The 22,972-nt window shown below is 42.7% G+C and overlaps 1 protein-coding gene across 18 annotated transcripts in view; it reads left to right on the top strand.

The window, feature by feature from the left end:
* CDK5RAP2 (CDK5 regulatory subunit associated protein 2) overlaps window positions 1-22,972 on the top strand; it is a 191,293-nt gene that overhangs the window by 91,324 nt on the left and 76,997 nt on the right. For 12 of the 18 annotated variants that reach the window (NR_073558.2, NR_073556.2, NR_073555.2 and 9 more), the window contains 5 exons: window positions 1,407-1,550; window positions 11,394-11,494; window positions 16,966-17,096; window positions 18,624-18,733; window positions 20,847-20,984. Coding sequence is in view for 13 of the 18 variants with exons in the window: in XM_017014923.2 (XP_016870412.1) it covers window positions 1,407-1,550; window positions 11,394-11,494; window positions 16,966-17,096; window positions 18,624-18,733; window positions 20,847-20,984 (624 nt within the window). In the remaining 5 variants the exon portion in view is untranslated. The remainder of the gene's footprint in view (window positions 1-1,406; window positions 1,551-11,393; window positions 11,495-16,965; window positions 17,097-18,623; window positions 18,734-20,846; window positions 20,985-22,972) is intronic. The other 6 variants (NR_073554.2, NM_001272039.2, XM_047423589.1 and 3 more) reach the window with 1 other exon arrangement.

The following is a 22,972-nucleotide window of genomic DNA, read 5'->3' as shown; positions in this document are numbered from 1 at the left end:
GGACTTCAGTTGGGATTTCTCTAAGAAACTAAAATGCAGATGGTCAATTTTTTGATGTGTGATCACGGAACACCATATGGCTAAGTTATGAGCAGTATCTGCGTGGCTATAATGTAAATGCAGAATATTGATTTAACTGAAATTGGGATATTATTAGGAAAAGGGTTGAGGGACAGAGGATGTAAGAGCTGAATCCTTAAACTTCTATGGCAGGAGCCAGTAGGTAGAATCTAAACTTAAGAAACCAAGCCATGTAAGAATAGGAATGTAATATAGAAACATGGAGGTATATAGCAGAAGAAATAGCTAAAGAGTTGCAAGTTGTTTTTCTCTGGGAGTGGGATTTGAGAGGTGAGAAGAGAGGAGAGGGAGAGGACACCATTTTCCATTTAAGCCTGTAGTACTATTTGACTGTTAAACTATGTATATCTATAATTGGACTTTAGAAAAATGAAAATGAATAGTGTAATTTAAGCACAACTGTATTGTGACAATTCTAGAAAGTCAGTATTGGTTATTTGATTCCTAGTTCTTTCTATTACAGTTCAATGGGTTTTTATAAAGAATTGCCTTAATTTTTTTGTTTGTGTTCACCTAATTTCTTATAAAAATTTGAAAGGATAAATTAATTCTGCTAGGTGCTTAGGAATAAGATGTGGTTCTTACCCTTAATATTTGACAAGAGTGGACAGAATCCTAGTTCAGGAGTTACTAGGATTTTAAATAGTTAGGAATAGATTCCATGCAGAAGACTAGAGATATGGTCTCCGGTCCTGTTGTGTTGTTGAATGTTCGATCTTCTGAAGGGTTCAGCCAGTGGAATCATATCATGTGTGATCATGAAGGAGCCTTTCACATGTGACCAGACCCTAAAGCAGTATTTGCAGTCTTGGCTTTTTTTCCTGGAAGTCAGATCTCCTTTTGGATATGGACAGTTCAAGTTTTATCAAATTTGTAACATTTCAAGAGAGACTAAGACTTCGTTGGGTTTTGATGTGCAAGTCTTGTAATCATCCCCATAAGCCTGCAGGACTGGAAGCAGATCGCACCCTGAGCAGGATGAACCTAGGTTTGGAACCAGGTCTGTTGGGTCAGAGCCTGGCTTTGTCCTCCACACCCACTGGAAGGTAGTCACAGTGGTGGTGAGCGAGGACGGTTTGTAGCGACTGCGACCATCCTTGGCTCTGCTTTGCTGGCATTCAGCTATTCTGCAAGTTGTAATAGCATAGAAATGGAGTTGCATGACAGTTTTGTAATTGCCTAGTATTTTGGAATGATGAAAATTATGTAGGGGATATAGGAGTATTATGAAAAAATAAAATATTTTTCCTTAAGGAGTTTGGGACAGTTTCTTAATATTTTTTTTCTTGATGACAATTTCCTTAGAATTTGTTTTATTTCATTAGAAATTCAATGAAAAAGATTTGGAAGTAATACAGCAGAACTGCTATTTAATGGCTGCAGAGGATCTTGAGCTCAGGAGTGAAGGCTTAATAACAGAAAAGTGCTCTTCTCAACAGCCACCAGGCAGCAAAACCATCTTCTCTAAGGTAAGCTTGACTGAAATTGGACATTCACATGCGAATGGATTCATACACTTTTTTGAAACATATTTGATAACTCCTTTGATCTAGAGATCCTCAAATGCCTTCTTGTTGGTAACTGAGCCTACAACAGGTAGGAGGAGGAGTTCTTAGCCTACCACGTTACAGATTAATATCCTTCAATGAATATTAGTCTTTGCACTGCACACGAAACTGAGAAAGCATAGCTTGTTAAACCAGAAGCCTCATTTGCTCTATCAGGGCTCACCTCTTAAGAACTATGTAATCCCAAGTGTTTCGTAAGTGTTCCTATTTAAATTCACGCAGAAAATGGCACAGCAGGCCCTTCCTTATCTGGCCCCAAATCAAGTTTCCAATCTCATTTTCTTTCGTCGCCAGCAATAGCAAATTTCTTATAGATTCCTGAAAACACCATGTTTGTACCTCTCTGTGCCTTTGTGTATGTAGTTCCATCTGCCTGGACTGATTTTTCCCTCCTTGTTTACATGCTAACTCCTGAACATCTCTGCAGGTGCCATCTTAGTGTCACCTTCTCTCTGGAGTCTTTCCTGATCCTGCTTAGTAGTGTGGTCCCCCGTTTTCCTCTGGTTCACAGCACTTTACACACCCCTCTATCATGGCACTTACTCTGTTTGTTGGAGTTACACGATCCACCTTTCCGCTTCCTCTCACCTGGGCTCCTGTACAGCACCATGGGCAGGCACTTCTGGGGTAGGGAACTGGCACATGTTCCGAATCCCAGTGTTCAGCCTGTTGCCTGGCTGTGTAAATATTTGTTGAGTGAATGAATGAATAATGCAACCAGGCAGCCAGATGTGGGAAAGGAAAAGAATTAACTGTAGGCCAGGTTTTTTTTTTTTTTTTTTTTTAAAAGAAAAACCTGGCTTAAATTAAGTTCATACATTTGGAAGATAGAGAACTCTTATGCAAATTAGTTTTCTGATGAATGGCTCTGATTGTGACTTGCAGGTTTGTGAAGGGTGATTCTCAAAATAATTAACAACTGGTACAACATGGGCATCAGCCTTCAGAAAAGACTCGGGCACTAGAGCTGGAGTGGGGACCTGGAGGCCTGCTCCTGTGCCAGGCACCAACCCTGTAGTTTAAAAACTACTAGGGACCTCATGGGGAGGTCCCTAGGGAGGGACCAGGGCAGCTAGGGTGGTTGGAGTGGATGGACCAGGGTTTATTTTCCAACTGGTGTGGAAGTATTTCAGTATATTAGCAACCAATGCTAGCCACTGTGCTGTGTATCTGCTCAGTATCAGAGCTTGTCCTGGGGGTATCATTGGCTGAACAGTTGGAGCTGTTTCTTAATTCTGACTGTTTGTGTATTTGCATTTTGCTGTTTCTCTTGAGAGCGTCAGCATGGACTTATGGAGCCCTTGGGCTGGGCCAGCAATCTGGAGACCTGGATTTCTCTCTGTCGACTCTGTCATTTCACTTACGTAACCTGGGGCAAGTCTTATAACTAAATCTCAGAGGGCTAATATTTTGTGATTCTAACTAGCATTTAGTTAGATTTTGACCAACTTTAGTTGGCTAAGATTCACATTAACCTGTAATATAAGGCATAGTCTTTTTCACACCAAGATAGCAGCTCATCAGGTTATTTTAGTTGGAAATATCTTCATTACTTTGAATATATTAAGTTAGTTAAACTAAAATGCTATTTTGAATCACATTTTAGTCATGTAAAAAGTATCTCCTGTAATCCCAGCACTTTGGGAGGCCGAGGCAGGTGGATCACAAGGTCAAGAGATCGAGACCACCCTGGCCAATATGGTGAAACCCCGTCTCTACTAAAAATACAAAAATTAGCTGGGTGTGGTGGCACATGCCTGTAATCCCAGCTACTTAGGAGCCTGAGGCAGGAGAATTGCTTGAACCCCGGAGGCGGAGGTTGCAGTGAGCTGAGATCGTGCCACTGCACTCCAGCCTGGCAACAGAGCAAGACTCCTCTCAAAAAAAAAAAAAAAAAAAAAGTATCTAAATGTTGAACAAAATGTTTATAGATTTATTGGACAGGTTGGGTATTTTAAAATCTAATTTCAGTTTTATCATTTTGTTTTTAGTTTTTTTGTGCTGGGTGATGTACTTCACATGACCACAAATGTAAAGTTACTAGCTGGGCATTTTGGTAATATTCAGATCCCGGTGATATTTAAATAACTGTGTCAGATACCTAAGTATTTTAGCAAAGGCTTTAATAGTGTTCTACAAGATGAATTGCAAATTGTAGATAGAGATTTACTGGCCAGGCATCATAGCTCACACCTGTAATCCTAGCATTGTGGGAGGCTGAGACAGGAGGATTGCTTGAGGCCAGGAGTTGGAGACCAGTCTGAGCAACATACTGAGACCCCAGTATCTACAAAAAAAAAAAAAATATTAAAATTAGGTTGGCACAGTGGTGCACGCCTATAGTCCCAGCTACTCAAGAGGATTGCTTGAGCCCAGGAATTTGAGGCTGGAGTGAACTATGATTGTGCCACTGCACTCCAGCCTGGGTCACAGAGTGAGCCCCAGTCTCTTTATTTATTTATTTATTTTTTGAGACAGAGTCTTGCTCTGTTACCCAGGCTGGAGTGCAGTGCCATGACCTTGGCACACTGCAACCTCCGCCTCCTGGGTTCAAGTGATTCTCCCACCCCAGCCTCCCAAGTATCTAGGATTCTACGCATGTGCCACCATGCCTGGCTAATTTTTTTGTAGTTTTGGTAGAGACAGGGTTTCACCACGTTGGCCAGGCTGGTCTCAAACTTCTGACCTCAAATGATCCAACTGCCTCATCCTCCCAAATTGCTGGGATTACAGGCATGAGCCACTGCACCTGGCTGAGACCCAGTCTCTTTAAAAAAACAAAACAACAGCAACAAAGGAATTTTAAGTGATCACTTAAGAATTGTAAATTTCTGGTGTCACTTTAAGGAATCCCAACTGTTGCAGCCTTACAGTCGTACCCCCGACTCCCCCGGCCCCAAGAAAGGTGTGCTTTTCAGATCGTAGTTCTTTCTTTGTAGAAAATGTGAATTTATTCTGCTGTGCCCTTGGCTATTTTGTGTTGGTTTAGAATTTATCCTCTGCCCATTTCTAGAAAGAACTTGAGGCTATGATCATGTCTCCATAGACTCTGGGCAGTCTGTTTTCCTTCTAATCATTGTGTGATCCTGAGAATCAATGCTAGATGACTAGGGAATTGAAGAATAGAGAGTGAAACACACTGACCATATTTAACTAACTACAGCCGGAGATTCATGGCTTGGTTATTGGCATGGTTGGGACATCGCTGCTGAATTTTCAGGGTATTAAAATTAATGTCTTTGTTGCAGGGCTGTGACATAGCTACTGAAATAGACACCATCTATCTACCAGGCCTCTAAATTGCCTTGATTACCAAGAAGTGATCCATTAAGCTTTCTCCTTACATGTCTGCTGTCTCTTTAGATGTGGTCTGCACATTACATGTGTTTCCTTCAAGTCATTAAGGAAACTATGGTAAAGTAGAAAATGCCCGGCTTTGGTGTCAGAATGCCAGTCCTACTACTCACTAGCTCTGTGATCTTGGGCAACTCACTTAATGCCTCTGAAACTCACTTTCCTAATCTGTGAAGTGGGCAATTACATGCCTGCCTTTTGAGAGGATTAGAAATAATGGAAGTGGATTAGTTAAGATTCTTTTGGTTGCAAGCCATAGAACCCCACATTGGGTAGTTTGAGCACAACCACCATGAAAGGGAATATTGACTGGGAGCAGACTTGAGGCTGTCACAAATGCCAGGCAAGACTTGAACAGCCACACTTTGGGGAGGGTGAAGCTGGGGCAGCACCATGGACCTCATCTGAGTCCCAGACTCTAGGGCTCTGTCGTTGACATGACACAGACCCAGAGACTTCCAGCTGTCTGGTGTCTTGGTTTAAATCTCTCAGTTCCTGGGAGAGAACTGTACTAGTTTAGCAAGTGGGCCGAGGGCCTGGCTCACAAAGGAGAGGAGTCTTCCTGGGACTCACCCCTGTGTTTTAGGGACAGTTCTCAGGTGAGGCAGGGGAATGCGGTGAGCGGGGTGGTCACTCCAAGGGCTGTGGAGAACACGTCGCAGAGCCAGACACACAGCAGATCTGTGGCAGTGATGAGTCTTCTCTGCACTGAGAGGCCTCCTGTCTGGGTTGCTTTTTGTTTGGAGGGGCTGGGTGGAGAGGGGAGAGTGGGGGTTGGTTGCTGTTGCTGAGCAGGTGCTTCTCATGACTCCCCTTTGGGCAGCCTGGCCGCCTGCCTGTGTGCCGAGGAGATCTACTGGTTTGTCAGCTCTGCTGAGGGAGCCAAATGACTTCATTCTAATGGGGCATGATTCAACGCAGGGGAATAGGTGATTGATGAAATGGGACCCAAATGGCTTCAAAGAGTTCATTTATTTAACATGGGTAAGCAATTTGCTTCTAGGAAGACTTTGACTCAGTCTGACTTCCATTATGCAAAATATCCCCAGGAATCTCTTCTCTTAAGATTCATATCGGTCTCTGAGTTCCCCTCTTACCTACTTAATCATCAGTTTAGCAAGTATTTGTGGCAGCGTTTGATTTGTGCCAGACACTGTGCCTGGCTCAGGACACTGCTGCTTGCCAGGAGCCCTCAGCCTTGTAAACAGGTGGCTGACACGCCAGCTCTGGGGGCTGGAGGAGGGCATCTTTATCAGTCAAAGAAGGGCTTGCTGATGAGGTTTGGCCGGAGCAGATCCTGTGAAGTGCCCTGGAGTGTGCCAGTGGATAGTGGTAAATGACAGCACTGGGTCTCAGGGGATAGGCATTCCCCCTGGGACTCTGATGGAGGGATTTCCCAGTTCCACTGAGTTGGAAGGGTAGGAGGAAGGGAGGAGGGCAGGAGCTGAGGAGAATGGTGGCCTGAAAATTCCGAGGAATCTTTGGAATAGCTGCCAGAAAGAAGAAAAGAGCCTGAACTGATATCCAGGCCCTGGTGTGGCAGGCAGTGGGCTGTCCTCCTCTAGGACTAAGAGCCAGCCTGCAGAGGTCCTGTTAAGATACTGGGTCCCACATACATACATTCCTGGAGTCTCTGTGCCATCCATCAGAAATCCATATTTATTGTTTTTTTTCCCCAACCTTTCTTGGTTGGCTTTGAAGTTACATACTTAAGCACAAATTCTGACTGTAGCAGTTACTAGCTTAGTGGACTCAAACAAGTTACTTCTGCTCTCAGAGAGTCAGTTTCATCATCTGAAAAATGGGAAGTTCCCTGGAATGCTGTGGCAACTAGAGATGATATGTTGGTAGCTAGTATAGCACTTGGAGCATAAGAATAATAGTAACAGCTGACATATATCAAGTGTTTGCCTCAAGCCGGGCATCATTCTGAGAACTTTGTCTGGATTAACTCATTTAATCTCTTTAACGCTCCAGGACATATGTAGAATTACTACCACTACTTAGAGGTAAGAATATTGACATACAGGCCCGGCACGGTGGCTCACGCCTGTAATCCCAGCACTTTGGGAGGCCCAGGTGGGCGGATTGCCTGAGCTCAGGAGTTCGCAACCATCCTGGGCAACACGGTGAAACCCCGTCTCTACTAAAATACAAAAAATTAGCCGAGTGTGGCGGTGTGCGCCTGTGGTCCCAACTACTTGGGAGGCTAAGGCAGGAGAATTGCTTGAACCTGGGAGGTGGAGGTTGCATTGAGCAGAGAGTGCGTCACTGCACTCTAGCCTGGGAGACAGAGAGAGACTCCATCTCAAAAAAAAAAAAAGAAAAAAAAAAAAAAGAAAACAATATTGACATACAGAGAAGTTGAGTAACTTGTTCAAGGTCACATGGTTCATAAAGTCACACACTCTTAATCATCACTGCCTCTCATGTTAGGTGCTCAAGAAACAATAGATTTTCTTATTTTGTCACTGGCTTTTCTTATTTTATTTGGCTGACCTTTATGTGGCTGACAGTGATGATGTTACCCTTGCCAAGCACCCAGATGCATTATATTTAAGGCATCTATTATGGGGCAGTGATGGGTGGGCTGAAGAGCATGGGCCTTGAAGCCCACACCTGGCCTCACCATCCTGACCTTGACCATGAACAGCCTTGTGTGTCACAGTTTCCTCATCTCTAAAATGGGGAGTGTAGTAACACGTAAGCACATTGGGTCATTGTGAAGATTAAATGAGAAAATGCCTGGAAAGCACTTAGCATGGTGGCTGACACACTGGCCCTGGAGAGCCTCCTTGGTTTTCATGTCCTCTTTAAATCCTCCCCACTCTTCTCTGAGGTCCTCTGGCTGCACACGTGGTTGTGTGCAGGTGGGAGCTGAGAGAATCCCACATGATACTGTTGTTGTGTACAAAAGGCATTTGGGAACTCCTTGTGCCAGTGACATGTGGCATGATTTACAAAAGGGCCTGACATTTCCAGCAGTCTGGATGACTAACTTATCATGACCAGACTGGTGGTTTAGCATTTAAAAGCTTTAATTGGCAGGTGGTGCCTTGGCCTTGTTTTGTCAGGATTGGAAGCACAACAGTATTCTCCTGGATCAGGGCTTCTTCACCTTTCTTGCCCTCTGCATCCTTTTGGCAATCTACTGAAGCCAGAGACCCCTATCTTGAAAAAATGTTTAAATGCATACAATATATGTGTAGGATACTAAAGGAAACCAAATATTTTGAAATTAGGTTATCAAAATATAAAAAAATTATGCTATGGAAATGATGCTTCTTTATTAATATGTTAAATAGTAAGATATGGTGGTGAGTATAAGTAACTGCCGTAGCTATGAAGTAGTGATAAGAATGAATATTTTGAGATATCTGCAACATATACAAAATAACTATTTCTTTTGATGACAAAGTCAAGGTAATACTACTAGTATTACTATGGTTTGTAGCAATAGCAGTATTCCTTCAATTCATAATTGAAGGTAATGCTAAATTTCAGTTAGAGGTTAGTGGAAATAGGGATGTAATTTTTTTCCCTTGCTCATATTCCTACAGCCTGTAAATTTTAATCAAGTTGAAAACCCCTGTCGTAGGTGGTATGTCTTAGCTTTAGGAGAAAACACAAGTCAATATAAACTACAAAGGCTGTTTGCAGCCCCAATTTCTTGACGGACTGAACATCCGCCTCCAGCATTTAGAGAGCATTTAGTTGGTGCTAGGCATCATGCTGGATATTCTGTATGCATTAACTTTATTTTAACATTTTTTCTTATTTTGAAATAGTTTTAAATTTGTAGAAAAATACAAAAATAAAGGATTGTATTTTTTTCTGAGCCTTTTGAGAGAAAGTTGCCAATGTGAAGCCTTGTCCCCTCTGAATGTGCTAGTGTATATTTCTTGTAAACAGGAACATTCTCCTGTATAACCTCAGCCCAGCCACTACAACCAGGAAATTAGCCTGGACTGATTTCCTTCATTGCTACCTTCTAATCCTCAGACTCATTTGAATTTCATCAGTTGTCTCAATAACACCCTTTGTAGTGAAAGGATCCTATTCAGGATCATGCCTTGCATTTAATAGTCTTGATTCTTTAGTCTTTAGTTTGGAACAGTTCTAAAATCTTTCCTTGACTTTCATAACCTTGACACTTTTGAAGTGCCTGGGCCAGTTATACCATAGAATGTCCCTTCAGTTTGGGTTGTTTGTCTGGTGTTTTCTTGCTGATTAGATTCAGTTTATGCATCTTTGGCAGGAATATCACAGTAGCGATGCTATGTTCTTCTCATTGTGTCCTGTCTGATGGTACACAGTTGGATTTGCCCCATTACTGGCCATGCTAACTTTGATAACTTTATCAAGATAGTGTCTGCCAGGTGTCTTGACTGTCTAGTTATGCTTTTTTCCCTTTGTATTTAATAAGTATTTTGGGGGAGGTGTTTTGAGTCTATGTAAACATCTTGACTTTTACCTACTAGTTTTAGCATCCTTTTGTGTTTCTTGGCTGAATTATTTATTACTGTGATGGTTGGCGAAGGGTGATTTTTCTAATTCCATTATTCTTTTTACATTTATTAGTCATCATCATTTTTCTATAAAGAAAAACCTACTCTTTTTCCCTCCTATTCATATCAATATGGATTTATGAATTCCTGTTTTATTTGGTGGGTTATAATCTGTTACTATCAGTTATTATCAGTGGGTTATAAACCATTACTCATTATTTCAATGCTCAAATCATCCCAGATTTGGCTTGTGGGAGCCTTTCCAAACTGGGTCTGTGTGTCCTTTTGACAACATTCCATCATTATTTAAGCATTTCTTTAAAAATTTTTTCAGCTTTGAGTTATAATTGACAAATTAAAATTGCATGTATTTAAGGTACACTAGATATTTGGATATATATATACATTGTGAAATGATCACCATAATCAAATTAATTGGCATATCGATCATCTCACATTGTTACCTTTTTTTGTGTGATGAAAAAACCTAAAATCTACCCTCCTGGCACATTTCAAGTGTAAAATACAGTATTTTTTGTTTGTTTGTTTGTTATTTCAGGGTCTTGCTCTGTTGCCCAGGCTTCAGTGCAGTGGTATGATCCTAGCTCATTGCAGTCTCAAACTTCTGGGCTCAAGGGATCCTCCTGTCTTAGCCTCCCAAATAGCTGGGACTATAGGTGCATGCCACCATATCCAGCGAATGTTTTTATCTTTTACTTTTTTGTAGAGGCGGGGGTCTCACTATGTTGCCCAGGCTGGTCTTGAACTCCGGGCCTCAAGTGATTTTCCCGCCTTGGCCTCCCACAGAGCTGGGATTATAGGTGTGAGCCGCTGTGCCTGGCCAGGGTATTGTTACATATAGTCATCATGCTGTATATTACATCTCTGGAATTTATTCATCTTGCGTAACTAAAACTTTGTTCCCTTTCACCAACATCTCCCATATCCTCATCCCTCCAGCCCCTGGCAACCACTGTTCTATAAGCACTTCCTCATTTTTTGGCACAATAAAATGCTATACACATATCTTTTATTGTTCCTGATTTTCCTTGTCCTAATACGGGAATCAGCCATTTCTCCAGGTATCCCTGGTTCCTTACAGTATGCAATTTATCTTTCATCTGCTCTGTAACTCCATAAGGCAGTGGTAATTGTCCACCAGTTTTACAGGTGAGAATACCAAGGCTCCTAGTAAGTAACTTCCCAGAGTCTCAGAACTGGTAGGTGGCAGAACCAAATTTTGAACATTAAAAAATTTCACATTTGTGAATGTGAATTCATAAAATGACATCCACATTTCATAAATGAGGAGACTGAAGCTCATAGAGTTTTGTTAAGCTACTTACCCAAGATCATACCTCCAGTAAGTGGCAGAGATCCAACTCAGATTTCTTCATCATCACTGTGTTCTGGATGCCTCCCAAGAATACCTCAGTTGACCTCTTCTACTTGACTGTAACTAAATCCCTAGTCCCCAGTACTTGCCAGGTTTTGGTTTGTGAATTTCTCTTCTTTGGAGCAACAGTGAATATGGAAAGATATTTTTTTTGTAGTGTTTTAAAAACGATGAACAGCAGCTCTGAGGGATGACAGACTCATGATGGGCTAATCCCATAGCTGGTGCGTCTTCCTAGCAGCTGTTGGAAGCAGTATTGGAAGCTCAGCTCTCTGCTTTGTTCTGGGATGAGTGATGGGCAGTCATTCCCCACTCCTCCTGAAGGTGGTGCTCTCTGACTGTGGCCTGAGCCAGAGCCAGGCACAGGGCCTCTCTCACCTTCGTTTGATTTTAAAAACTGGGACTAGCTACATATGTTTGCATAATATAAGGATGTACTCTTTCAAAATTCTTTCCTTAATGTCAAATGCCCATTGTCATTTCCAGGAAAAGAAACAATCATCAGACTATGAAGAGCTGATTCAGGTCTTAAAGAAAGAGCAGGACATCTATACCCATCTGGTCAAATCTCTGCAGGAATCAGACAGGTAAGCGTTTCTGTCTGGACATCACACATGTGAATGCGAACACACACACATGCACGCGCATACACGCACACACCCTTTCAATCAGTGCTGATCTCTAAGGCAGCAAAGCCCTGCCAGTTTGCTTATGGAGCTTATAAAGCTTGGGTGGCGACTGCCCTATTTGATAGTCACATATACCTGTTTTCTATCAAGAATTGTCTGATTTTTGGCAACAAAATTGATTACTCAGGTTTTAAAATCATGATTACTCAGGTTTTAAAAATACTTTATTATATATTTAGAAAGTGCTTCTATGTGTATTATCTCATATGATCCTCACAGCCTTTCTGTGAAGTAATAATAATGCTATCCCTGTGTTTTCTATAAGGTCATGAAAACTAAGATAGGGTAAGTGACTTGCTCAAAGTCACACAGATGTCAAGTGACAGAACCCTGGGACTCAAGCAAGTCTCCCTATCTCTGCAGAATTGCTGAAATGAGTTGCTGCCAGCAAGGTGTGGTGGGGAGAGCCAACTCTAGGATAGAGGCCTTGTTCTAGCCCTGACTCTCCCACTTTCTAGCTCTGTGTCCACAGGCAAGTGCTGCTCTGGGCCTCTGTCCATGTGTCTGTACACACAGGGTTGGCCTCAGGGACTTCTCAGAATTGAGAAGTCCTTTTTTTTTTTTTTTTTGAGATGGAGTCTTGCTCTGTTGCCCAGGCTGGAGTGCAGTGGCAGGATCTCGGCTCACTGCAACCTCCGCCTCCCGGGTTCAAGCGATTCTCCTGCCTCAGCCTCCCAAGTAGTTGGGACTACAGGCACATACCACCACGCCCGGCTAATTTTTTGCATTTTTAGTAGAGATGGTGTTTCACCATGTTAGCCAGGATGGTCTTGATCTCCTGACCTCAGGATCCACCCACCTCCGCCTCCCAAAGTGCTGGGATTACAAGTGTTGGTCACCTCTCTCTACACAGTGGGATGGGTACAGCTGAAAGGATATGATGTCTGGGATTCATTTCCAAACAGTGCAGAAGCTGAGGACGTGGGTGGGAATATCAAAAGAACAAGATTGGCCCTGGCTCTCTGATTGTTGGGGCTGGGGTATGTGTAGATGGGGGAGAGGTTCATTACAGTAGTTTTTTTTTTTTCCTTTTGTATATGTCTAAAATTTTCTATAATGAAAAGTTAAAAAAGAATCACCCCTCATTTCTCCCTCTCATATGTCCTCTGCTCTTACCATAGTGAGCTCTTTATCGTTCCCTGGGCTGTGTGTTCCTGCCTGTACCTTCACCTGTGTTTCCTACCCTTCTATTCCCAACCTTTCCCCTACTTTGTCTCCTCCCAGTCCTTTAGAATTTAGCTTGAATGTTACATTTGTCAGGCAGCCCAGCTAATCCCCAAAACAGTTGCCTCTCTGTGTTTCTGCCCTGCGTGGGGAGGTCACCTTCTGTAGCCGTCTGTGCCTGCTCTGCCTCCTCACCTGTGTTGGAGCTCCCTCAGGGCAGGGGTCCCACCTTACTGTCTCTGCTCCCCAGGGCCTGGTACAGAGTAGGCATTTGGGAAATGTTCTGTGCAGGAATGCCCCTCCCTGCCATGTTGATCTTCTAAATTATGAGATAATTTCCAGATTTTTTCATAGGAAATGAGTTTAGGGAAAATGAAAACATGCTGCTGAAATTCTGGGAGTAGGCGTCACTCTCTGAAAGTGAGTTTTTTCAAGAAACCTCAGCTGCTGGTCATTTTCACTTGGCAAGTGGTGTTGGGGGAGGTGGGCGGTGGGAGCGAGCAGTGGGGGGCACTGGGGGTTGAGTCGTGTGGAAACTCACAGAGGGAGTGGACACATTTCATTTCAATTGCGCAGCTTCTCTGGGTAGGAGCCAGGTTGATTCTGGGTACTGAGAGGCCTTGTGGGTGGATATGGTTGCTCCTGAGTCTTCTCAGCTTCATGAGGGGCTCCCAAGTTTCACAGGCTCTTTCTTAATGAATGAAAACTTGGATGGGACTGAGGCGGGTCAGGGCTAACTCGGACTAACAAAGACTAACCGGGACTAACAAGGTTTCTTAAAAGGCTTCCTGTTCATCTTCAGACTTGTAATACATTCAGTGGGAGACAGACCTAGGTCCACATCTCAGCTCTGCCACTCAGCAGCCCTGAGCTCTTGGGTAAGTAATTTCTCACCCTGAGCCTCAGTGTGTTTGTGAAATTGAGATTGGCTGGTCTGCCTACTTACCTACCTACTTAGATGTCTACCTGCTTTACAGGGTTGTGTTGAAACTAGAGAGGACACTGTGTAAAGACCTAATACTTCCTGGCATGTAGTAAGCACTCAGTAAATGGTAAGATTTCTTAAGAATAATGACAGCATGAAAAGCTTACATATGTCTCAATATTTCATCATGCATAAACTTAGTTTACAGGAGGTTTTTGAATCCTCAGACCTTGGCATATCCAGAGGGCAGAATGTGGGCTAAGGAAGGTAGAGCTCTCTTCTGTAACTCCAGCACTGTTCACTCTGGAAATTGACAGGAAAGGTGGATGACCCTGAAGACAGATGATGTACTGTGATTAAAACTGGAAAGGGAAGTCAAGAAGGGAGGAAACTCATTGTGAGCAAGAATGTGGCTGATCCTTTCACTTTTACTATTTATTCTTCACAGCAGCACTTAGAAGTTGGTGGATGATCCCCAAATTACAGAAGTGGAAATGTGCATTCTAAGACACCCGGTGTTCCGCAGTGAAGGATTATCAGTGCTTAGGTCGTCTTGGCTCCCAACCCAGGTTCTTGCTGATACACTCCCCATCTTGAGGACTAGCACAGTTTCCCTGTAACTCAGGATTTCTCAGCCTCAGCAGTATGAGGCTTTGAGGCTGGATAATTTTTTTGTCATGAGGGCATGTCCTGTGCTTTGTAAGATGTTTAACAATCCCCGGCCTCTACCATGGGAGGGTCGGCACACCTGATCCTCCCATGGCAGTTGTAACAACCAAAAATGTCTCCAGACATGGCCAAATGTCCCCTGGCGGGTGGGGGCAAAATCATCTCCAGATGATTATCATTGCTGTAACTCATGAAAATCAGCAATCTTGGCTCATAAATATTGTCTTCTGTATGGGAGTTGTTAGAGTATGTGGAAGGAAGGAAATGATGTTTGTTGAGCATCTCATATGTGTTAGCCCCTGTCCTAACGTCTTTCCCATGTAATATCTCATTTATTCCTCAACACAATCGCAAAGCAAAGGTATTATTATTCCCATTTTGCGTGAGGAAATCAGGACTCAGTTAGTTGAACTGGCTTGCCCAGTAGTGGTGGCGTGCTATTTTGAGCTTCGATCTCTCTAACTCCTTGTTTCTGCTCCTGTCTGCCCTGCCCCAGTTCCAGGAAGAGGAAGGTTTTTGTTTTTTTCTGAGTGAAGCACCTTTTGTTCTCCCAACTCCTCACACCTTGAAAAGATTCTCAAGTTGGGAAAACATAAATGACAGACACAGGAGCAGCAGCTGTGTACTTTTCACCCTGTCAGAAAATGGAAGAGGGAGTGAAGCAGTTAGCTTTCCCCAGCCCTAATCGCAGGAGCTTCTCTAAAACAGTCTCTTTTTTTCTCCCTGGTTAAATGCCTCTGCAGCATGACTGCATCCAAGCGAGTGCTGTGCTGTGACACCTCTGTGAGGTTTTTCATCAGCCTTACAAATTGATCATTATGATTGTCTTAAAATGGAACTAGATACAAGTTGCTAGTAGGGCCCTTTCCCTTGCGTGAAGACTGCTTCACAATGAACTGTCCTCAAAGCAGCAAGCATAGAAGATTAGACATAATGGTTTATTTTCCTTCCAATGTGTGTTGATTTATGTGTGCAGTCCGATGGATGGAGCTGGAAGTCTCTGAAGGAGAAGCGGGGCTTCTTTGAGGAGTCTGGCACACATATTTGGAGTAATTGCCTCTAACCATTCGGGGGCTATTGATCCCTTTTGAAAAATCTGATGAAAGCTTATAGGCCCTCTCCCTAGAAAAATCCACAAATTCATTCATTTTTTGCAGATAATTTCATGGCATTGATGGACATTTTTAGGGAACCATAGATGCTAGATGGAGAATGATAGATCTCTTGGTATCTAAAAAAGAAGGCTTTCTGATTTGTTAATGTGTTTCAGTAGTCTTAAAGATGTTCATATACTTTGACCCAGTAATTGCATTGCTGGGAATCTTTCTTAAGAAAATAACCTGGATGTCAAACAAGGCTTTAAGCACAGAGATGGACAGTGAAGCATTATTTATGCCATTCAGATGTCAGCTGGGGTCTCCATGTTCTTCTGAGAGCTGGATTTAACTGGTTCTGATCTCTGCCATTTCCACATCAGTAGGAGTCCAAAGCTGTTCTTACGGATCTGCACTGTCCAGTTCAGTAGCCACTAGCCATGTGGCTGTTCACATTTAAACTTACTGTAAATTTAACAAAATTAAACGTTCAGTTCCTTGGTACATTAGCTACATTTCAAGTGCTCAATAGACACATTTAGCTAGTGGCTACTGTAGTTGACAGTGAAGATATAGAACATTTCCATCACTGGAGAAAGTTCTATTGGACAGGTTTCCCCAAGATTAATGCACATTCTGGGAGGTGTGCATTTTCTTGGTCTCCTCTGGGTTTTGGGCTTCTAGTCCATGCAAGCTCTCTGTACAGCTTAGCACTACATCTCCTCTCCCAGAATAAAAATCCACTCATACTATGCGTTTCTGAGTGGTTCACCCACCACAGTGGAGTTTTTTTGGCCCCTAATAGATTAGTCCTTTTCTCCTTCTTATTGTTGGCTCACTCTTCCTTTATTTTTTTCTCTTCCCACCTGTCCCCCACCCTTAACTTCCAGTATGACTTTTTTGAGGAGTAACACAGCAGGAGTCCTCTGTCTCCCTTTCTTCTGAAGCCCGGGTGCCCAAGTGACACTCAGGCCCTGGGGAGCCTCCCTTTCTATACCCAAGCCCTCTTGGGGCATTGTTCAGAACAGAGACACATTCTGGAATGGAGAATTACGTTATTTTCACCTAGTTAACGCCTATAGCAAAAATTTGGAAATGACCCAAGTATCCACTAATAGGGGATGAGTTAAAGTAAGTGGTGGGACATTCACCTGGTTTAATATTATATAGTCATTAAAAATGATTTTGCAAATAATTTCTAAAATATAGGGAATTATGAAGTGAGGAATGCATATCAGCATTGTATGTCTAGTATTATTTCAGCCATGTAAATTACGCATAGGGGAAAAGATTGGAAGGAAATACAGTCTGCCGTGTGTTAGTTGGTAGTAGGAGCATGATAATTTTTGTTTTCTTTATACTGTTGTATTTAAAATTCTCTATAGTAAACCTGTATATACTTTTATAACCAGAAAAAAACACAAATGACATAAAAATCACAGGAAGGCTTTCTGGGCTTTGCATCTAAAAGTACAAATAGGTCTGTTTTAAAACTTCTGGTGTCTTGTTTTACCAAGTATCAACAACCTGCAGGCTGAGTTAAACAAGATTTTTGCCCTGCGGAAGCAACTGGAGCAGGATGTGCTTTCATATCAGAATTTGCGGAAGACCTTGGAGGAGCAGATCAGCGAAATTCGGAGGCGGGAAGGTACACACTTTATTCTATGTGCTTCTCTTTGGTTTTTCCACTTGGAGGGCATGGACTGAACTTCAGGAGAGTCCTAAATATTTGTTAAGGGATGAAGCATACACGGGGTTTCGTTTGGAGATCCTTTTTGTGGTGACCATGCTGATGTTAGCCTTCCTAGTAGAAGAGCCCAGTAAGTTGTACTAAATTCTGCAGAAGGTCAGGTGCAGGATTGCTTCCTTGCTGCCTCTACTGTTTTCTGCATCATTTGATACTTCTAGTTCCAAATATCCCTGGGCACTTGCAATCCCCTTTTTTGGGGAATTGCAGCCCTCACTGCCCGGAACATCTGAGTACTGCCTACCACAGCACCTATTGCAGAGAGCCCAAGACTGCACACATATATGGGTGAGATGCTGTTTCAGGTTGAAGCACTGTTTTTAGTGCTGTATATGCATTAAGGGAGGGCTACAAGATGAGGGTCCTGTGGGACTTATGTTTTCTGTATTCATCACAGTAATATTAAGATTTGACCCTCTCCCCTGGTAGAACTTAAGCCCTTTAAAGTTTGGGTTGGTATCTGATTCCCTTCTGTATCTCTAGCCCGGTGCCTGACACATATGGTAAAAATTGGTAATAACAGTGGTAGGTTTGACATCTCTTGAGCATCTGCTGTGTACAAGGCACAGTGCTAGGCACCTAACTTTTCACCTGTGATCCTCACAGTCATCTCATTAGGTAGAGTAAGTATTAAGTTCATTTTACAGATGAAGAAACCAAGACTCAGCTGGGGTTTGACGTGCCCAGATTTCAGCCAGGGCATCTTCCTTTAAGTCTAGCTCTTTCCAGTATTCTGCACTGTATTTTAGATGTATCAGCTCTTACACGTGTGTGTTAAATGAGATACTGTTTGTGGATATGCCTTGCTGAGTACACATATACACACATCTTCCCCCCGCCCCCCACTTCTCCCCTTCCTATTAGAATTGACCTTTGCTGCAAAGGAAACAGATCCTTACATTGGTGACCAGAGATTCTTCTAGCTTAGCACTAGCAGGCACTTTCTGCACTTAGTGTGCTTGTTTCCCATGAGGGTTCTGGGGCCAGTAAAAAAAAAAAAAAATGATCAGACACTTTTATCTCCCTTGAGTTCTACCCTTGAGGGTCACATCTAATTTTTCTGCATTTTCCCCTAAACAGAATCAGTCCCTCATTTAAACTGAAATCACCATTTTCTTGTGCCATTCAGAATGGTCTCCAGGCACAATACTTGATATGCAAATTATAATTCACAGTTGGCCACAGTGAAAACCTACGGCCTAAGATGAAACCATACATTGAAATATCAGCCTGTTGAGAAAGGGAAAATTAATTTTGCTCCAAAGGTGGTGCCTTAAGCCCCCTCTGTGTACTATGCTCCCTTCCGCCCCACCTCCCCCATTCACATTGCTTTGGATGGATTGCACTGGGGTCAGTCTTGGGAGGATCTGTTTCTGATATTCTTTTTCTCCTCCCCCTCCCCACCTTTTTTTTTTCTTTTTTGGGCAGAAGAATCATTTTCACTTTATAGTGATCAAACATCTTATCTAAGTATTTGCCTTGAAGAAAACAATCGGTTTCAAGTGGAACATTTTTCTCAAGAAGAACTTAAGAAAAAGGTATTGACCTATTAATTTTTAGTGCTTTTCTTTTCTTTTTGTTAGATTGTTTGTTGTATCTTGGGTTCCTCATGAGAGGTTAAGATTCTGAAGGCCTCTCTCCTTCCTTCCTGTCCCCTCTGCCTTGTTGTGTGTGCCCCTCCTGTGTCCGTTAACTGGAGTACCTTCCCTCGTGTCTGATAAACTCCCCAGGCCTGAGAACCCAGCCAGGCTCGATCTCCTTGAGGAAAAGCTCTCTGGCCCCTCAGTTTAGAGTTAGCCACTTTTCCGTCAGGCTGTTCACCTCTTTTTTTTGTACCTAATCCAAATCGATGTCCTTATTTTACTGATCTATAATTATCTGGTTATTTGTCTATATTTCCTTGCTAGGCTGTGAACATCTTAAACTTAGTGATTATGTCTTATTTCTGATTTCCCATTGCCTGGCACACATATAGGAACTAATAATAGATGCATTTTGAATGAATAACGTTCCAGGTTTGATCAATAAATCTTTTTTTAAACTGGAAAGATTCTTCAATGTGTTGATCAGTGTCATGGTTAGAGTGGTTTAGTGTTTCAAGGTTCTGAAAAACATTCTTAGAAATAGGAGGTTTGAGACCGCATAGTTTATTATAAAATTATCATGTATGTGTGACTAAGATTCAGTTTCTATCTGGGAATAATTTACATTCTGATAGAAGAGACAGGCATGTAAACAAGTAATTGCAGTATGAGGTGCAAGGTTGCTGTATGGGCAGCTGTACAAGGTGTAGAAATAGCAGAGGAGAGGCTAATTGCCTGTATGGGAGATGGGGGGGTGAGCTCACCTGATCAGGGGAGGCTTCTCAGCAGAAGTGAGACTTGAAGTGGGTTTCGAAGGACGAATTCGGAGTTTGCCCAGGTCTCCACTTTCTCAGCAGAGAAAGAGAAAACAGCCTGTTTAAGGCACAGAACTAAGAAATAGCAAGGAGAATAAAAATTTGGGTATTTTGGGAGGAATAGGGCAAGGAGTATGGAGGCAGCTGTTAGTTTTTAAAGATGAAGAAAATAGAGATGATAATAGCTGCTGCTAGTGCCTACTGGGGCTGTGGTAAGGCCAGGAGGTAGTTCACTTGGTTGGCACTTAGTAAATCAGAATGTCTTGTTCTTCCTACTAGAACCTCCTTGAGGATTCGATCCAATTTTTTTCATATTTTGATATATTGGATATCTACTATGTGTACTCAGGGTGGGAATTTCCATGTTATTTGAAGAGCTAATAATCGCTTCCATCAAGAAGCCTTGGAAAATTACTGGCCATTGGGATTTGAAGCCTGCAGGAAACCAAGGTGGTGTCTGCTTGTTCCTTCTGTGTGTGGCCTCGCAAGACCCAGGCCCAACTCTGCCTGTGTAGAGGCAGCTGCTCTTTCGCACATGGTTAGGCACTTCGGCCATTGTTCTGTCTCATTTAATTCTCCAGACACCCCAGCTGTGGGACTCTGGACAGTTAAATTTCTTTGTATTTCATGTCCTCATTGTAAAATGGAGAGAGACACACTAGTCTGTTCCCCTCCTCAGGATTTTTGCAAGGAATAATAGACTAAAGCTTGTAGGAGTATTTTAGTAGCTGTAAATTGCTTCATAATTGACAACTGTTAATATTACTGGCATTGCCAGATAGGTGTACAAAGGAGGAGGTCACTAGTGAAAAGTAAGACTCTGATACAGTTTCAGAAACTTTCGCCTTGGGAGACTTTTCCTCCAGAGGGTCTCAAGTGCAAGAGAGAGATAGTATTAGCTGTCATTGACTGAGCACTTAGACCGTGCCAGGGACTTTAGTGCACTGTGACCACAATCCTGTTCAGTTCTCGTAGTAACGCTACAGATGAGGAAACTGGGGCTTAGACTGTGCAGTTTGCCCAGGATCTTTTTGCCTTGAAGTGATGGCTCTGGGATTAAAATACTGTTATGCCAGATGTTAAAGCCAGTGTTTTTGTCACTGTGCACAGGGTATCCTGAGGGCTAGAATCAGCCTGATTCCCCGTAACTGTGGTGCCAAAGAGTCGCTTGATAGGGCTGTCTGGGGCTGCGGCCCTGGGAAGCTGAAGTCTCTTGCTGGGTAGACAGCCTTTTCCCTGTTCTTACCTCCTAGGTCAGTGACCTTATACAGCTAGTGAAGGAGCTGTATACAGACAACCAGCACCTGAAGAAAACCATTTTTGATCTCTCCTGCATGGGTTTCCAGGGAAATGGGTTTCCAGATAGACTTGCGTCTACAGAACAAACAGAGGTAAGAAACATTTTTGTTGTCATGTGCTGATTACAAAAATATAACAACCGGCTTGGTATGGTGGCTCACGCCTGTAATCCCAGCACTTTGGGAGGCTGAGGTGGGAGGATCACTTGGGCCCAGGACGTTGAGGCTGCAGTGAGCTGTGATTACACCACTACACTCCAGCCCGGGGGATAGAGCGAGACCCTGTCTCAAAAAAAACCATCAAAACCATATATTCATATATATGTATGTATGTATACAAACCATATGTTTATATATATGTATGTATGTATACAAACCATATATTTATATATATGTATGTATGTATAACAACCCGAAAGGTTTTTCAAGACTGCATCTGTTCCTGGGGAGGTCTCTAACTGAAATTCCCTTTGTTGTGGACTGGGTATTGAGAGCCCCACTAGGCTGGCAGGTCTGTCCACAGGCTTCCTCAGGTTCCAGTCATGTCTCCACGGACACATTGGATATACTGTGATGCTTTGACTCTGGTCCAGCCCTGGGACCTGTGCTGCAGATGGCACACATCTGGATGAGCGATGTGGTCTCAGACGGATCTGGAGAGTTTCCAAACCACCCAGATAATTTGAATAGTGTGGATGCAGCCTTAATGAATACATTAACATTGAAAAACTGACATACACACAACCCACCTGGGAAAAGAGGAAAGAAGCCTTATTCACCTTGATGACTTCTGGGTCTCAGTGCTGATCTTTGTGATTTGTTGGCTCTGATTTTCTGTTTGGGACCTGGGCTGCACAATGGGAGGACCCTGAAGTTGTGATGTTGTTTCCCTCTTCATTCCCTACTGTGGCCTGACTCTCTCGTAGGAAGCACCTTGCTTCATGCGCATGTTAGCATTGTTTCGGAAGACCAGAACTGCTCTCCCATGAAGTGCAGTAGTAGGGCCTTTTTGTACTTGGGTCCCTCACGTATGAAACTGGAATCTTCCTGGTTGGGGTTGTCTTCTGCTCTACCTGGCGTGCCAGGTAAATGGAGAACTCACATTCATTGCAACATCATTTCTTGGGAAAGATTTGTCAGCCTTAAGCTGTCTCCTCCTACCTTCAAAGTGGGAAATGCTCAAAGGTATTTATGCTGCACTCTGGCCATCTTCTTTCTTTGTGAGAGGGAACATTATTGATCTTAGCCTCCAGGACTCTAGATAATTTTGAAAACCAAGAATATCTGCGATCCATTTAGGGAGAAACAAGTATGATTTGCTTCCTCCAAGGCAGCATTCTTCACCAACTTCATTTGAGACACAAATGGTGTGTTTTGTTTGTTCATTTGCCCTTTAAAAAAAAAATCTGTTAAATGTCTCATTATGTCCTTTGGAGAAAAAGGATTTTTCCTTTTCCCACCCTAAGATCTTAATATCAGCCAACTGAGATTTGTTGAGTCTTTTATCATATTGTACTTTGATTTGATGTTCCCCATGAATAGCCTTGTTCTTCATAGCACAGCTCCCCATCATCCCCCAGAATGGGATGGGAAAGGTGGTGTGCCCATTGTAATCTTGGGCTGAGGGAGTAGATGGAGTTAGGGTGAGGGTGAGATGGGAAAGAGTGGAGCCTGCGGTTCTCTGGGAGTATGCGTGGTTCTCCTTTGATGAGAAACAAAGCAGAAACAAACCAGAAATGCATATATTGTCCACAGCATTTCCCAAGCAGCATGACTTGCAAAGTGAGGTCTGGGTATGATTCCTGTTCTGTAGGAGACTATAAATCAGAAAAGGAGGGGGGAAAAGCAAGTATATTTTTATTTTTAAAATTCAGTATTTTTTCTCCAATATTTAATTAACCCATAGCATTACCCCAACATTTGGAAAAGAGAGAGAATAAATTACCCCTAATTCTGTCACTTTAAAACAAGCACACAGTTAATTAACGTTTGGAAGTGTTCCTTCTGTATTTGTGTGTATGAACATGTGGATGCACACATCTCTCCTGGAATGCAGCTTTGTCTCCTGTTCTTGCTAATTG

This window comes from Homo sapiens, chromosome 9 (genome assembly GCF_000001405.40).
Source record: "Homo sapiens chromosome 9, GRCh38.p14 Primary Assembly".
Lineage (NCBI taxonomy): Eukaryota > Metazoa > Chordata > Mammalia > Primates > Hominidae > Homo > Homo sapiens.
The sequence above is the reverse complement of the archived record's forward strand: the minus strand, read 5'-3'. Positions and strand labels throughout refer to the sequence as shown.